Raw genomic sequence first — 18,286 nt, 5'->3', positions numbered from 1 at the left:
TTAAATATAAATTCCAATTTCAGACCATCTCTTTCTTCACACATGTAAGTATACACTTTTAGAAACAGCCACGTTACATCTTCAATGCTTTTCTGCTTAGAAATTTCTTCTGCCAGATACCCTAAATCATCTTTCTCAAGTTCAATGTTCCACAGTTCTCTAGGGAAGAGGCAAAATGCTGCCAGTCTTTTTGCTAAAGCATAGGAAGAGTGACCTTTACTCCAGTTCCCAATAAATTTCTCATCTCCATCTGAGACCACCTCAGCCAGGACTTCATTTTACATACCACCATCAGCATTTTGGTCAAAACCATTCAACAGGTATCTAGGAAGTTCCAAACTTTCCCACATTTTCCTGTCTTTTTTTGAGCCCTCCAAACTGTTCCAACCTGTGCTCATTACCCAGTTCCAAAGTCACTTCCACATTTTCGGGTATCTTTATAGCAGTGCCCCACTCTCCTAACACCAGTTTTTTGTATTAGTCTGTTTTCACATTGCTATAAAGAACTACTGGAGACTGGGTCATTTATGAAAAAAAGATGTTTAATTGACTCACAGTTCCACAGACTTAACATGAAGCATGACTGAGAGGCCTCAGGAAACTTACAATTATGGCAGAAGGTGACAGGGAAACAAGGCACATCTTTCTATGGCAGAGGAGGAGACAGAGAGGGTGAAGGGGGATGTGCTACACACTTTCAAACAACCAGATCTCACGAGAACTCACTCACTATCATGAGAAGTGAGTGTCTGACCCCATGATTCAATCACCTCCCACCAGGCCCCTACCCCGACATGTGGGGATCACAATTTGACATGAGATTTGGGTGGGGACACAGAGCCAAACCACATCAATGAGTAACTCAAAGGCATGGTTAACTGGGGCTTATATAGCATCTTAACAAAGAGCAATAAATTTGTAGAGAAGTGACAAGGGAGAAGGAGTTTAGGCCTTTAGGTGTGGCCAACCATGGGAAGGTCAATATATTGGAAAACTCATGGAGACGGATAAGGATTGTTTTAGCAAGGTTTGCTATGTAGATTCCTCTGGTGCCATCTCTGTGCTGCTGAGTCTAGAGTGTCTTTGGTGGTTAAAAATTCTGCTGTTTCTTGCAGAGAAGAGGAGACCAGAGAGTTATTTGCAGCTTCTCACTTTCCTTTAGCTCAAAATTATCTTTATATCAGCATGGCATATTTCAGGTGGAATACTTTGAACCCCTTCATCCACTTCTTCCTTTTTTGTTATTAATAGAGTTTTCTTTTTTAAGTTTTAGATTTACATAAAAATTGAGCAGATAAGTACAGAGTTGCCCTAAACAGTTCCCCCACCCACACACAGTCTCCTCTATTATTAACATCTTATATTAGTATGGTATATTTGTTACAATTAATAAACTAATATTGATACATTATTATTATTAACTAAAGTCCATAGTTTACTCAGATTTTTAAAGTTTTAGGCCAGACATGGTGGCTCAGACCTGTAATCCCAACATTTTGGGAGGCTGAGGTGGGAAGATTGCTTGAGACCAGGAGTTTGAAACCAGCCAGGGCAACATTGGGAGACCCTATATCTACAAATTATTTAAAAAATTAGCCAGGCATGGTGGCATGTGCCTGTACTACCAGGTACTTGGGAGGCTGAGGTGGGAGGATCACCTGACTCTGGGAGGCTGAGGCTACCGTGAGCTGTGCTCACACCACTGCACTCCAGCCTTAGCAACAGAGTGAGACCCTGTCTCAAAACTAAATAAATAAATAAATAAAATTTTTACATGATGTCCTTCTACTGCCCTAGGATCCCATCCAGGGTACCACATTATATTTAATTATCAATTTTCCTTGGGCACTTCTTGGCTGTGACAGTTTCTCAGACTTTTGTTTTTAAGGATCTGGACAATCGAATATTGGTCAGATATATCATGAGATGTCTCCTTGAGATTTGTCTGATTTTTTTTCATGATTAGACTTGAGTTATGGATTTTGGGGAAGATCAGAGGTGAAGTGCAGTTTTCTTCACATCATAGCAAAGGTGCAAACTATTAACATGATTTATGACTGCCAATGTTGGCCATGATCACCTGGCTGAGGTCATATTTATCAGCTGTCTCCACTGTAAAATGACTCTTTTGTTCCTCCTTCCCATACTGTACTCTTTGGAAGGAAGTCACTATGTACAGCTCATACTTAAGGAGTGGGCTTCCCCCTACCCCAACCACCCTTTTAAGGGCCACAAGATAAATTACTTTCTACTATATTTATATACATTTATTAAAAGTTGGAAATTGGGGCTGGACACGGTGGCTCACGCCTGTAATCCCAGCACTTTGGGAGGCCGAGGCAGGTGGATCACGAGGTCAGGAGATCGAGACCATCCTGGCTAACACGGTGAAACCCCGTCTCTACTAAAAATACAAAAAAAAATTAGCCGGGCGTGGTGGCAGGTGCCTGTAGTCCCAGCTACTCGGGAGGCTGAGGCAGGAGAATGGCATGAACCCGGGAGGCAGAGCTTGCAGTGAGCGGAGAACGCACCACTGCACTCCAACCTGGGTGACAGAGCGAGAGTCTGTCTCAAAAAAAAAAAAAAAAAAAGAGTTGGAAATTGGCCGGGCACAGTGGCTTACGCCTCCCAGCACTTTGCGAGGCCAAGGCAGGCAGATTGCCTAAGCTCAGGAGTTCGAGACCAGCCTGGGAAACACGGTGAAACCCAATCTCTGCTAAAATACAAAAAAATTAGCCAGGCCTGGTGGCATGCGCCTGTAGTCTCAGCTACTAGGGAGGCTAAGGCAGGAGAATCGCTTGAACCCAGGAGGCAGAGGTTGCAGTGAGCCGAGATCGCACCACTGCACTTCAGACTGAGCGACAGAGCGAGACTCCATCTCCAAAAAGAAAAAAAAAAAAAAAAAAAGAAAAAATTTAGCCGAACATGGTGGCAGGCGCCTGTAATCCCAGCTACTCAAGAGGCTGAGGCAGGGAGAATCACTTGAACCCGGGAGGCAGATGTTGCAGAGAGTCAAGATCGTGCCATTGCACTCCAGCCTGGGTGACAGAACAAGAAAGACTCTGTTTCAAAAAAAAAAAAAAAACAAAAAAACCGGAAATGTGGAAATGTGACTAATGAGCCCTGGCTGGCAAGGCAGGAAGTCATCTCAGTGGAAGGCTGAGCTCACAGCCTGAGGACAAATGGCCCAATGGAGATAGGCAAGTTTTATTCTTTCTTTTCTTTCTTTCTTTCTCTTTCTTTCTTTCTTTCTTTCTTTCTTTCTTTCTTTCTTTCTTTCTTTCTTTCCTCTCTCTCTCTTCCTTCCTTCCTTCCTCCCTCCCTCTCTCCCTCTCTCTTTCTTTCTTTCTCTCTTTTTATCTTTCTCCTTTCTCTTTCTCCTTTCTTTCATCTTTCTTCTTTCTTTTTCTTTCTCTTCTTTCTTTCTTTCTCTCTCTCTCCTTCCTTCCTTCCTTCCCCTCTCTCTCTTTCTTTCCTTCTTTCTTTCTTTCTTGGAGTCTCACTCTGTTGCCTAGACTGGAGTGCAGTGGTGCCATCTCAGCTCACTGCAACCTCCATCTCCCAGGTTCAAGTGATTCTCCTGTCTCAGCCTCCCAAGTAGCTGGAACTACAGGTGCCTGCCACCATGCCTGGCTAATTTTTGTATTTTCTAGTAGAGATGGAATTTCTTCATGTTGGCCAGGCTGGTCTTGAACTCCTGACCTCAGGTGATCCACCCGCCTCGGCCTCCCAAAGTGCTGGGTTTACAGGTGTTAGCCACTGTGCCCAGCCTCTTCTCTTCTTTCTCTATTCTTTTCTTTTCTTTTTCTTTCTTTCTCTCTTTCTTTCTTTTCTTTCTTTCTTCTTTCTCTCTCTTTCTCTCTCTCTTTCCTTCTTTCTCTCTTTCTTTCCCTCTCTCTTTCTTTCCTTCTTTCTCTCTCTTTCTTTTTCCTTCCTTCCTTCCTTCCTTCATTCCTTCCTTCCTTCCTTACTCCCTCTCTCCCTCCCTCCCCCTCCCCTCCCCTCTCCTCTTCTCTTCTTCTTCTTTCTGACAGAGTCTCACTCTGTTGCCTAGGCAGGAGTACAGTGGAGTGACTATAGCTCACTGCAGCCTCAAACTCCTGATCTCAAGTGATCCTCTCACCTTGGCCTCCCAAAATGCTGGAATTACAGGCATTAGCCACTGCACCTGGCCAAGAAAGGCTGATTTTCTTCCAAAGCAGTCAAAAAAGTCAAATGAGGTTAAAATAACAGGAAGAGAAGAAGGTAGAGATGTGGGTGATGTCAGTGATGGAGAACATCTGACAGATGGCCTTTTAATGAATACTCTTATGATTTAAAATGTCTTCTTAAACTAAGGCTTGTGGTAATTCTTTGAGTTCCAATGTAATTGTCATGCATTCACTAAGGAGATTCTTTTAAAAAGCTGTCAATTTGGTTGAGGAAGATTAGAAAAGCAGAAGCAAGAACATTTTTAGACATTTTTAAAGAACTCATTTAGCTGCTTCCTCATTAATCAGTCTGTTTTCTGAGAGCAAACTGCTGTATAATTACCAGGGGGAAATTGCTCTTAAAGAGAAGCTGCAAAATGTCTATAGGAAAACGTGATTTTCTCACTGGTATCCAGAAAGACTTAACCTGCTTAACACAGATGAAAAATTTTTATTAATAAAGTGATTTTCCATCATCTGGTCATTTAGGGAGTTTCCTATTTTAGAGCTGCTTATTTATAGGGAATATTGATGGAGAAAGAGGAAAAATGATCAGGCTAATAGGCATTACATCTGAAGTCCTGAGACTCCTTCTGATTATATAAACCCTTCTCCCATTGTGAGCACGGCACTCAATGTCCCAGGTAGTCCTCATAGTATGTTTCGAGATAAAATCTCCCATATGATAAATGCCAAGTTTTATTTAACAAGCCAGCAAGTCAGCATCTGGAAGCAAGTCTACAGGCAGATCTTTAACTTCCAGGAATTCTGTTGGGGATTTAATGTTTCTATAGCAACACTTGTTGTAGCATAAACTAAATTTGAAGAATGTTGAGGGTTTGCCTCTGTGATGTATTTCTTTTATCTATGAACATAAATTACAGAGGGTCTCAAGATTACATATATACATCTAATCTATATTGTTATAAATATACATAATTGTTTTTGCTAACATTTTTTCTTTTCTGAAAACTCATGTAGCAGCAGAAATGCAAGTCTTTCAAATGCTTTTGGGAAGACTGTGTAAAGAAATGGCTGTCCCTTGTTCAAAGACATCAAACATTTCTATGCAAGATGTCTTATTTCGCCAGTAGTAATATGCTCCCATCATAGGAAAATTGGCTGTCTACATTTAAAAGAAAAATGAAGACATCATTAAAACTATCAGGAAGTCTGGAAACAATATAGCAATTTTTAACCTAATGGTGCTAAGAGAGTGACATGAATGTTCTTGATCATCCAGTCTTTGATGGTGGATGCAGGTCTTTTTAGTCCATTTTAATGGTCAAGATTGGTTAGCTTCAAAAGAAAAAGATTTGAGATTTGCAAAAAAAAATTGTTCACCAATGACATGTTTTTGAGACCCCTTTTTATTGTAACCTTGACTATTAAGTTGCCTGTGGCTTCATTTTTATAGAAAATGAGTTTCAGCAGGTGGAACTGAAAATTACTGTTAGGAAAGAATGATTTCCAATGAGGTCAGAATTAGTACACATTTATGTTTTTACTGTTTATATATGTACTTCCTCCACTTCTTATGACCCAAAGTCATAATCTTCTCATTGTAAGGTCACAATTGTGACACAGTAACTAGTAAAAGGTTTAAATCTTTTTTACAGCAGCAAAACATTGAACCTTTGCCTTGTGGATTCTCATTTATTAAGTCAAAGAGAAAAGGAGTATAAGATATAAAGTTTCATGTGCAGACCTTCCCTCCTTATGAATTCTGTGTTGAAATGAATAACTGTAAAGTGAGTATTTAAAACTTTTTTCTCCAATATATTAGAGGAGGTTTAACCATCATTATTAATTAAGTGACAAGCTATTCATTAGGCAAGGTGACATGTCCAAAGGTCAGGATGACTGTGTTCAAAAGCTTATTCACAACTAAAAGATTAAATTTGGCAAGGATTCCCAACTGGGGATCTAAAGGTCAGAGAAAGCATACCATACAAGTTTAAATACTTTGAATGTGGTTTCTTTTTAAGTTCTATACTTTAAAGTCAATCTAAGACAAGTTTAGTATAGTCCCTAATGTTTCAGTTTACAAAAGGAACACAGTTTACATGTGGCTTCATCAAAGAAGTAAGAGGGTGGTTTCATCTTTAGAACATTCTAGCATAATTCTATCCAATGTCTGAGAACATATTATTGTGTGATTTTGGAGAAATCAGCAGGTGCCAAGAAATGTCACTCAAATCATGTCTAAATATCTGAAATTCTATTCTTAGAAAGTGTATTTGGAGAGACTGAGTGGTATAGAGAAGACAGCATTAACTTTGGAAACAGAACTTAATTCCCAATCCACGTTCCACCAATTACCAGCAGTAGCCCTTCGGGCATCTTTGACCACATCTACAATCGCAGATGTGAAGTCTCTATCCTGGGCTCATCTGGTAGCCACTCCCATTCCCCCTCTCCCTGATTGCCATTCACCATAGAGACTGGAAACCCTAAGTCTTTGCTCTCTCATCTCCCATGCAACTGGGAGGAGCCAGGTGGCCTAGTCTAGCCATTCAGATGTAAATAGAAACCTGTTGGAGGCTTCTGGAGGAACTTTTGCTTCCTTGTCAAGGGGCCAGACTCAGAAAGAGAGCACACCAGCAACACCTGTTTTCTCTTTTCCCTGTGAAAGCTAGAGCTTCATTAGCCCTCATGCTTCTACAAAGAAACAGGCATAAGGTTGAGAAAGCAATGTGTTAAGTACAGCAAAAGGAAAAATAGAGTTTAGGAGTCTTCGATGGCATGGTTGAGCTGGAAACACCAACTTCTGGACTTTTGTAACAGAAGAGAATGAACTGTCTTTATGATTTACACTACCATCAGTGAGATTTTCTGATACTTGCAGCTGAAAGCATTCCTAACTGCCCAACCCACAAGCATATTATAATATTAAATGAGATAAGATGATAACACCGTAGCACAAGACTAGGCTCACAGGAGATAGAGAATAAATTTTAGTCATTTTCTCTACCCAGTGCTTTACATATCTTTTTTTAATACAAAAGCACATTAATAGAATAACTCATTAAATGGTTCACACTGTTATTTATGTTGGTAGTTGCTTTTCTTTTCAGCAGGGAATATAAAGAGCCTTGTAGGCTGTGTAGGGTTTGTGTTGGAAAAGTCCTTGATCAAAGGTGCACCTTTGAAATAACCTACCATAAATGATGAGGGTTAAAACTGGGGCAGCAACAGCAGAAGATAAACTTTATACAGAAGGTAAAGTCATCAGGATTTGGTGTTTGGTAGGATATGGGTGTGAGGGGCAAGGCAGAGTTGAAAGATGATTTCTATTTCTAACTTGAGTGACTAGGTGGATAATGATACAAATAATTGAGAAAAATATATAGTTATTGCTGATTTGGGGAAACGTTGACAAGTTTAAGCATATTGAGCCAGTTATATACACGAGGCAAGGTAGATATCAGAGCCTGCAGCTTCTGGAAAATTTGGAAACCATCAGCTTAAAAGTGGTAGCTTAAATCATAGCAGTAGGTGAGATCAACCAAAAAGAGAATATAGAACCATAACTTTATGTGTCTGAAGATAAATAGTGTGGAGCAGTGACAAAATATATATTATAAATTTCTATAAATAGAAAGTAATGAAAATGAGTCCATTTACACCATAAGACATGAAAGACTGATAAAGAAAAACTTATAGTTGCAATTATCTCTGCTATTTAAGAAGACGAACATTTACAAAATGGTAGTACTTTTCTTAAAAAATTAAAATCTGAACAAGGAAATAAGCTAAAAATGAAAGTTATAAAGAAAAAAGCTGAAATTAATGATCAGAAAATAAAATAATAGTAAAAGGTGAACTAAATTCAAAAGCTACTTCTTGATCAATGAAATAAATATGTAAATCACAGGAGTGATTATGAAAAAAGTATAAAAATTTGCACATTTGGAATGAACAAAAAGACATAATCACAGATACAAAATAAAAAAGGTGGATGTGAGGGTGAACTTTCTGGGACATCCATCACCCACTGATTGCCAGGGCTGCTGATCAGGCTGGCTAGGCAGGTGTCCCATTCCTCCCTCACCACTCCATGTGCTTCCTTCCCAAAGCTGCATGCTCAGTTGAAGATGATGACCATTCCTGATCGAGAAGGACTTAGGTTAAGGGTATATGAGTAGCTGTGTTTCCCTGCTCAAACCTCCAAACAAGCTCTCAAAATAAAAAATATTATAATAAAATGTACGTGCAACTCTTTGACAATAAATTTGAAAACCTATAATACACAAAGGATTCTCTTATAAATTTTAAGTTCTCAAAAGTGGCCTAAGTAGTAGAAAATTTTAAGAGATCATTTGTCACAAAAAGTTTGGGATAGATAGTTAATACACTATTGTGTTAGAGGCCTCAGGATCAGGTAATTTCAAACCTGAGTTTTAGCTAGCTTTAAGAATAGAGAATTCTGGTAAATCGTAATTCATAAATGTAAACATTAAAAATTTCCCAATTCATATGAAACTAGCATAATTTAATAACCAAACTGAAGCTGAATCGGAAAAGAACATTATCAGTTGCTTCCAAGATGGCCGAATAGGAACAGCTCCTATCTACAGCTCCCAGCGAGATCGAAGCAGAAGAAGGGTGATTTCTGCATTTCCAACTGAGGTACCTAGTTCTTCTCACTGGGACAGGTTGGACAGTGGGTGTAGCCCATGGAGGGTGAGCTGAAGCAGGGCAGGACATTGCCTCACCTGGGAAGCACAAGGGGTCGGGGGATTTCCCTTTCCTAGCCAAGGGAAGCTGTGAATGACTGTACCTAGAGGAGCAGTACCCTCCTGCCCAAGTGCTTTTCCCATGGTCTTTGCAACCAGCAGACCAGGAGATCCCCTCCCATGCCTGGCTCGGTGGGTCCCACGGCCACAGAGCCTTGGTTGCTGCTAGCATAGCAGTCTGAGATCGACCTGGGACACAGGAGTTTGGCGGGGGGGAGGGGCATCCGCTATTGCTGATGCTTGAGTAGGTGGTTCTATGCTCACAGTGTAAACAAAGTGGCAAGGAAGCTCAAACTGGGCGGAGCCCACCACAGCTCAGCAAGGCCTACTGCCTCTCTAGATTCCACCTCTGGGGGCAGGGCATAGCAGAACAAAAGGCAGCAGACAGCTTCTTCAGACTTAAACATCCCTGCCTGACAGCTCTGAAGAGAGCAGTAGTTCTCCCAGCATGGCGTTTGAGCTCCAATAACGGACAGACTGCCTCCTCAAGTGGGTCCCTGACCCCTGTGTAGCCTGACTGGGAGACACCTCCAGTAGGGGCCAACAGACACCTCATACAGTTGGGTGCCACTCTGAGATGAAGCTTCCAGAGGGAGGATCAGGCAGCAATATTTGTCGTTCTGCAGCCTTCGCTGGTGATACCCAGGAAAACAGGGTCTGGAGTGGACCTTCAGCAAACTCGAACAGACCTGCAGCTGAGGGGCCTGTCTGTTAGAAGGAAAACTAACAAACAGAAAGGAATAGCATCAACATCAACAAAAAGGACATCCACACCAAAACCCCATCTGTAGGCCACCAACATCAAAGACCAAAGGTAGATAAAACCACAAAGATGGGGAGAAACCAGAGCAGAAAGGCTGAAAATTCCAAAAACTGGAAAGCCTCTTCTCCTCCAAAGGAACACAACTCTTCACCAGCAAGGGAACAAAACTGGATGGAGAGTGAGTTTGACAAGTTGACACAAGTAGGCTTCAGAAGGTCAGGAATAACAAACTTATCTGAGCTAAAGGAGCATGTTCTAACCCATCGCAAGGAAGCTAAAAACCTTGAAAAAAGGTTAGATGAATAGCTAACTAGAATAAACAGTGTAGAGAAGAGCTTAAATGACCAGATGGAGCTGAAAACCACAGTACAAGAACTTCGTGAAGCATACATAAGCTTCAATAGCCAAATCAATCAAGCGGAAAAAAGGATATCAGTGATTGAAGATCAAATTAATGAAATAAAGTGAGAAGACAAGATTAGAGAAAAAAGAGTGAAAAGAAACGAACAAAGCCTCCAAGAAATATGGGACTATGTGAAAAGACCAAATCTACATTTGATTGGTGTACCTGAAACTGACAGGGAGAACAGAACCAAGTTAGAAAACACTCTTCAGGATATTATCCAGGAGAACTTCCCCAACCTAGCAAGGCAGGCCAACATTCAAATTCAGGAAATACAGAGAACACCACAAAGATACTCCTTGAGAAGAGCAACTCCAAGACACATAATTATCAGATTCACCAAGGTTGAAATGAAGGAAAAAATGTTAAGGGCAGCCAGAAAGAAAGGTCGGGTTACCCACAAAGGGAAGCCCATCAGACTAAGTGGATCTCTCTGCAGAAACCCTACAAGCCAGAAGAGAGTTGGGGCCAATATTAAACATTCTTAAGGAAAAGAATTTTTAACCCATAATTTCATATCCAGCCAAACTAAGCTTCATAAGTCAAGGAGAAATAAAATCCTTTATAGACAAGCAAATGCTGAGAGATTTTGTCACCACCAGGCCTGCTTTACAAGAGCTCCTGAAGGAAGCACTAAACATGGAAAGGAACGACCAGTATCAGCCACTGCAAAAACAGGCCAAAATTATAATGACCATCGATGCTATGAAGAAACTGCATCAATTAACAGGCAAAATAACCAGCTAGCATAATAATGACAGGATCAAATTCACACATAACAATATTAACCTTAAATATAAATGGGCTAAATGCCCCAATTAAAATACACAGACTGGAAAATCAGATAAAGAGTCAAGACCCATTGGTGTGCTGTATTCAGAAGACCCATCTCACATGCAAAGACACACATAGTCTCAAAATAAAGGGATGGAGGAAGATTTACCAAGCAAATGGAAAGCAAAAAATAGCAGGAGTTGTAATCCTGGTCTCTGATAAAACAAACTTTAAACCAACAAAGATCAAAAGAGACAAAGAAGGCCATTACATAATGGTAAAGGGATCAATTCAACAAAAAGAGCTAACTATCCTAAATATATATGCACCCAATACAGGAGCACCCAGATTCATAAAGCAAGTCCTTAGAGACCTACAAAGAGACTTAGACTCCCACACAATAATAATAGTGGGAGACTTTAACACCCCACTGTCAATATTAGATCAATGAGACAGAAAATTAACAAGGATATCCAGGATTTGAACTCAGCTCTGCCCCAAGTGGACCTAAGAGACATCTATAGGACTCTTCTCCCCAAATCAACAGAATATGCATTCTTCTCATCACCACATCACACTTATTCTAAAATCGACCACATAGTTGGAAGTAAAACACTCCTCAGCAAATGTAAAAGAATAGAAATCACAACAAACTGTCTCTCAGACCACAGTGCAATCAAAGTAGAACTCAGGATTAAAAATCTCACTCAAAACCGCACAACTACATGGAAACAGAACAACCTGCTCCTAAATGACTACTGCATAAATAACAAAATGAAGGCAAAATAAAGATGTTCTTTGAAACCAATGAGAACAAAGACACAATGTACTAGAATCTCTGGGACACATTTAAAGTAGTGTATAGAGGGAAATTTATAGCACTAAGTGTCCACAAGAGAAAACAGGAGAGACCTAAAATCGACACCCTAACATCACAATTAAAAGAACTAGAGAAGCAAGAACAAACAAATTCAAAAGCTAGCAGAAGACAGGAAATAACTAAGATCAGAGCAGAAGTGAAGGAGATAGAGACACAAAAAAAAAAAACTTCAAAAAAATCAATGAATCCAGGAGCTGGTTTTTTGAAAAGATCAACAAAATTGATAGACCACTAGCAAGACTAATAAAGAAGAAAAGTGAAAAGAATCAAACAGATGCAATAAAAAATGATAAAGGGGATATCACCACCGATCCCACAGAAATACAAACTACCATCAAAGAATACTATAAACACCTCTATGCAAATAAACTAGAAAATCTAGAAGAAATGGATAAATTCCTAGACACATACACCCTCCCAAGACTAAACCAGGAAGAAGTTGAATCTCTGAATAGACCAATAACAGGTTCTGAAATTGAGGCAATAATTAATAGCCTACCAACCAAAACAAGTCCAGGACCAGAGGGATTCACAGCCTAATTCCACCAGAGGTACAAAAAGGAGATTGTAGCATTTCTTCTGAAACTATTCTGATCAATACAAAAAGAGGTAATCATCCCCAACTCATTTTATGAGTCCAGCATTATCCTGATACCAAAGCCTGGCAGAGACACACAAAAAAAGAGAAATTTAGGTCAATATCCCTGATGAACATTGGTGTGAAAATCCTCAATGAAATACTGGCAAACCAAATCCAGCAGCACATCAAAAAGCTTATCCACCATGATCAAGTGGGCTTCATCCCTGGGACGCAAGGCTGGTTCAACATATGCAAATCAATAAACATAATCCATCACGTAAACAGAACCAATGACAAAAAGCACAAGATTATCTCAACAGATGCAGGAAAGGCCTTCGACAAAATTCAACAGCCCTGCATGCTAAAAACTCTCAATAAACCAGGTATTAATGGAATGTATCTCAACATAATAAGAGCTATTTAAGACAAACCCACAGCCAATATCATACTGAATGGGCAAAAACTGGAAGCATTCCCTTTGACAACTGGCACAAGACAGGGATGCCCTCTCTCACCACTCCTATTCAACATAGTATTGGAAGTTCTGGCCAGGGCAAGAGAAAGCAATAAAGGTATTTGAATAGGAAGAGAGGAAGTCAAATTGTCTCTGTTTGCAGATGACATGATTGTATATTTAGAAAACCCCATCATCTCATCCTAAAATCTCCTTAAGCTGATAAGCAACTACAGCAAAGTCTCAGGATACAAAATCAATGTGCAAAAATCACAAGCATTCCTATACACCGATAACAGACAAACAGAGAGTCAAATCATGAGTGAACTCCCATTCACAATTGCTACTAAGAGAATAAAATATCTAGGAATCCAACTTACAAGGGATGTGAAGGACCTCTTCAAGGAGAACTACAAACCACTGCTCAAGGAAATATGAGAGGACACAAACATATGGAAAAACATTCCATGCTCATGGATAGGAAGAATCAATATTGTGAAAATGGCCTTACTGCCCAAAGTAATTTATAGATTTAATGCTATCCCCATCAAGCTACCACTGACTTTCTTCACAGAACTGGAAAAAACTACTTTAAACTTCATATGGAACTAAAAAAGAGCCTGCATAGCCAAGACAATCCTGGGTAAGAAGAACAAAGCTGGAGGCATCATGCTACCTGACTTCAAACTTTACTACAAGGCAACAGTAACCAAAACAGCATGGTTCTGGTACCAAAACAGAGATATGGGCCAAAGGAACAGAAATAACACCACACATCTACCACCATCTCATCTTTGACAAACCTGACACACACAAGCAATGGGGAAAAGATTCCTTATTTAACAAATGGTGTTGGGAAAACTGGCTAGCCATAGGCAGAAAACTGAAACTGGACCCCTTCCTTATACCTTATACGAAAATCACCTCAAGATGGATCAAAGACTTAAACATAAGACCTAGGACCATAAAAATCCTAGAAGAAAATCTGGGCAATACCATTCAGGACATAGGCATGAGCAAAGACTTTATGTCTAAAACACCAAAAGCAATGGCAACAAAAGCCGAAATTGACAAACGGGATCTAATTAAACTAAAGAGCTTCTGCATAGCAAAGAAACTATCATCAGAGTGAAGAGGCAACCTACAGAATGGGAGAAAATTTTTGCAATCTATCCATCTGACAAGAGGCTAATATCCAGAATCTACAAAGAACTTAAACAAGTTTCCAAAAAAAAAAAAAAAAAAAAGCAAACAACCCCATCAAAAAATGGGCAAAGAACATGAACAGACACTTCTCAAAAGAAGATATTTATGCCACCAACAGACATATGAAAAAATGCTCATCATCCCTGGTCGTTAGAGAAATGCAAATCAAAACCACAATGAGATACCATCTCACACCAGTTAGAATGGTGATCTTTAAAAATTCAGGAAACAACAGATGCTGGAGAGGTTGTAGAAAAATAGGAACCCTTTTACACTGTTGGTGGGAGTGTAAATTAGTTCAACCATTGTGGAAGACAGTGTGGCAATTCCTCAAGGATCTAGAACTAGAAATAGCATTTGACCCAGCAATCCCATTACTGGGCATATACCCAAAGGATTGTAAATCATGTTTGTTTATTGCAGCACTATTCACAATAGCAGAGACTTGAAACCAACCTAAATGTCCATCAATGATAGACTGGATTAAGAAAATGTGGCACATATACACCATGGAATACTATGCAGCCATAAAAAGGAGGAGTTCATGTCCTTTGCAGGGACATGGATGAAGCTGGAAACCATCATTCTCAGCAAACTACCACAAGATCAGAAAATCAAACACCGCATGTTCTCACTCATAAGTAGGAGTTGAACAATGAGAACACATGGACACAGGGAGGGGGACATCACACACAGGGACCTATAGGGGGTGGGGAGCTAGGGGAGGGATAAAATTAGGAGAAATACCTAATGTAGGTGACGGATTGATGGGTGCAGCAAACCACTATGGCACGTGTATACCTATGTAACAAAACTGCATGTTCTGCACACGTAACCCAGAACTTAAAGTATATATAAAAAAAGAGCTGAAAATTATCTTACCAGTCTGATTATAACTGGCTAATCCTGAATACTATTAGATTTGCATTAAATAAATCCCAAATGTTAGTTATAAATGCAAAATGTTTTGAAGTGCATTTTGGCAAAGGAGCAGGGTTGCAAAGTCCCCACTCTCTAATTGACCATTGGTTTTTCTGGTGACCAGCCCCCATCATGAAGCTATCTAGGGGCTGCCAGCCACCAGTCAACTTATTAGCATACAAAAAGACATTTATCACTTTGGGGATTCCAAGGATTTTAGGAGTTGTATGCCAGAAAACAGGATGAAGACCAAATATATAGTTTACAAATCACACCTACTTTTACTATTATTATTTAATATTGTTTAGATATTTTAGTAAATGCAATAAACCTAATATGCACAGCATAAATATGGAAAGAAAGAGGTGAAACTTTTTGCTGACAATATAATTTTATACCTGATATCATCAAGAAACTCTAGTAAAAAAAGTAAATAGAAGTAAAAGAAAGAATTTGATGGATTGGGTAGATACAACATAAAGATATAGTATGATTAGCTTTTTCTATATAAGCCATACCCACATACAAACGAAAATGAGGAAACTATTCCATTCATAATAGTAACAAAAATCATAAAATAGGAATAAATTATATGACAAAGGAATAGGACCCATGTAAAAAATAAAATCGTACTGGAGGACAAAAATGGGATCTGAACAATTAGAAATTTACACCACGTTCTTGAAAAGTGACACTTTTTCTCATAAATAGAGCTGTTCTCCTGAAAATAGTATATAAATTCAGTACAACTTCCATAGAATCTCTGGCAGTTTTAATTGGATAAAATATTCAAATTGATGAATAAAGAATGATAGTATTAGCCTGGCCAACATGTGAAAGCCCATCTCTATTAAAAATACAAAAATTAGCCTAGGGTGGTGGCAGGCTACTCAGGAGGCTGAGGCAGGAGAATCGTTTGAACCCAGGAGGCAGAGGTTTCAGTGAGCTGAGATCACACCATTGCACTCCAGCCTGGGTGACAGATTGAGACTCTGTCTCAAAAACAAAAAGAATGACAGTATTAAAACTACTTAAAAGCCAGTATAATAAAACAGTACAATATAGGCACAAGACTACCAAAAAAATCAGTAAAAAATAATAATAAAGAGATCTCAGAATTGTGTAATACCTCATGAAGATGATACTTCATTATATCATTGTGGGGAAATTTAATTAATAATCTCATCACAATTGGATATGCTCTTGGAAGAAAATAAATGTGGACCCCCTAGTTTATATTAATTATGAAGTAAATTCCTAATGAATTTGACTTGAAAGTAAAAATAAATAAATAACCATTTTATAAAAAATTAGGTTATTATCTGTACACCTAAGAATTAAAGAAATATTTTAAACAAAGGTAGGTGATCAACCTAACCTTTATAAAACTTCAAGGTATTATTTGTAGTGCAAGAGATACCAAAAACAAAATCAGTAGGTAAACAAGCTGGAAAAAATATAAATCAAATGATAGATAAAAATTTGCATCTATATATAAAAAAAGCTATGTCACAATTTAATAAGATAAAGATAATCAACCCAATAGCAAAATAGGTTGGGGATATGAATAGGCAATTGGCAGAAGAGCAAGTATGATAAAATGTTCAATCTCCTCCAATAGGCAGAGAAAGGGAAATGAAAATTACCATGATCATAGCCATCAGAGTGGCAAAAATCAAAGAGTAACTGCACCTATTATTAGCAGAGATGGGAGTCAGGGCAAGGGCACTTTCATATATCACTGGTAGAAATGTGAAAAAGCAATTCGTGATCTCTATTAAAAATTTAAATGCACTTGCAATTCAACCCAGAATCTCAATCCTGGGACTCTATACTATAGAAATAAAAGCCCCAGTATATATAAGTGTGTGTGTGTGAGTGTGTATGTACTGCAGCATTATTTTTAATAACAAAAAGTTGATAGCAAATCAAAACTCTATTAGTAAAAGAATAGCTGAATGATAATAATGCTTACAGTAGAATTTTATCCAAGAATTAAAAATTAATTACCTATACTACCTGATCTTGAGGAATTTCCATTATATATTGTTAAGATACAGAGAATTATATATCACCAATCCCTTTAAAAATGTCCCCCTTAAATCTTGTGTGGGTATAAAAACACACATAAATGAGCATGCACACACACACATACACACACACATATATTATGCCTATGTGTACATAATGCAGAAAGAGTTACATGGAAAAATGGTCACTGAAATGTTGTTTTCTCAGAAAGGTGGCTTTTACATTTTTCCTTAATGTATTTATTATTTTGCAATTTTCTTTTTTTTAAATTTCAACTTTTATTTCAGATTCAGGTGGTACATGTGCAGGTTTGTTACCTGAATGTATTACATGATGTTGAGTGTGGGGGTACAAATGATCCCTTCATCCAGATACTGAGCATTAGTACCCAATAGTTAGTTTTTCAACCCTTTTTCTCCTTCCCCCTCCCCACAATAGTCCCCAGTTTCTTTTGCTGCTATCTTTACGTCCATGAGTATCCAATGTTTAGTTCCCACTTTTAAGTGAGAACATGTGGTATTTGGTTTTTGTTTTTCTATATTATTCTGCTTAGAATAATGGCCTCCAACTGCATCCATGTTGATGCAAAGGACATGATTTCTTCCTTTTTTATGGCTGCATGGTATTCCATGGTGTGTATGTACCACATTTTCTTTGTCTAATCCATCATTGATGGGCACCTTGGTTGATTCCATGTCTTTGCTATTATGAATAGTGCTGCAATTAACATAAGGTGCATGTGTCTTTTTGGTAGAACAATTTATTTTCTTTTGCATATATATCCAGTAATGGGATTGCTGGGTCAAATGTTAATTCTGTTTTTAGTTCTTGGAGAAATCTCCAAACTGCTTTCCACTGTGGCTGAACTAATTTACATTCCCACCAACAGTGTGTAAGCATTCCCTTTACATTCCAACTAACAACATATAAGTGTTTCCTTTTCTCCACAGCCCTCCACAATCTGTTACCTATTGACTTTTTAATAATAGCCATTCTGACTGGTGTGAGATGGTATCTCATTGTGGTTTTGATTTGCATTTATCTGATGATTAGTGATATTGAGCATTTTTTTCATATGTTTGTTGGCTGCTTGTATGTCTCCTTTTGAGAAATGTCTGTTCATGTCTTTTGTCCACTTTTAATGGGGTTATCTGTTTTTGCTTGTTTAGTTGTTTAAGTTCCATATAGATTTTGAATATTAGACCTTTGTCAGATGCCTGGTTTGTGAATATTTTCTCCAATTCTGTAGGTTGTCTGTTTAGTCTGTCAATAGTTTCTTTTTGCTGTGCAGAAGCTCTTTATTTTAATTAGGTTCCACTTATCAATTTTTGTTTTTGTTGCAATT

General features: G+C 38.6%; 1 long non-coding RNA gene and 1 pseudogene across 1 annotated transcript in view, besides 1 other annotated feature; both read left to right on the top strand.

The window, feature by feature from the left end:
- The first annotated feature begins 5,853 nt into the window (after window positions 1–5,853).
- The window catches only part of LOC105369912 (uncharacterized), a 41,668-nt gene continuing 29,235 nt past the window's right edge, over window positions 5,854–18,286 (top strand). The window contains exon 1 of the long non-coding RNA XR_001749263.2: window positions 5,854–5,941. This is a non-coding gene — a long non-coding RNA (uncharacterized LOC105369912). The remainder of the gene's footprint in view (window positions 5,942–18,286) is intronic.
- Window positions 6,530–6,824: an enhancer, noted in NCBI's record as "tiled region #1370; K562 Activating non-DNase unmatched - State 21:Repr". NCBI's record gives its function as "activates a minimal TATA promoter and a strong SV40 promoter by Sharpr-MPRA in K562 cells {active_cell/tissue: K562}" and the evidence as "EXISTENCE:reporter gene assay evidence [ECO:0000049][PMID:27701403]".
- On the top strand, window positions 8,150–8,458 carry RN7SKP263 (RN7SK pseudogene 263; annotated as a pseudogene).

This window comes from Homo sapiens, chromosome 12 (assembly GCF_000001405.40).
Source record: "Homo sapiens chromosome 12, GRCh38.p14 Primary Assembly".
Lineage (NCBI taxonomy): Eukaryota > Metazoa > Chordata > Mammalia > Primates > Hominidae > Homo > Homo sapiens.
The sequence above is the reverse complement of the archived record's forward strand: the minus strand, read 5'-3'. Positions and strand labels throughout refer to the sequence as shown.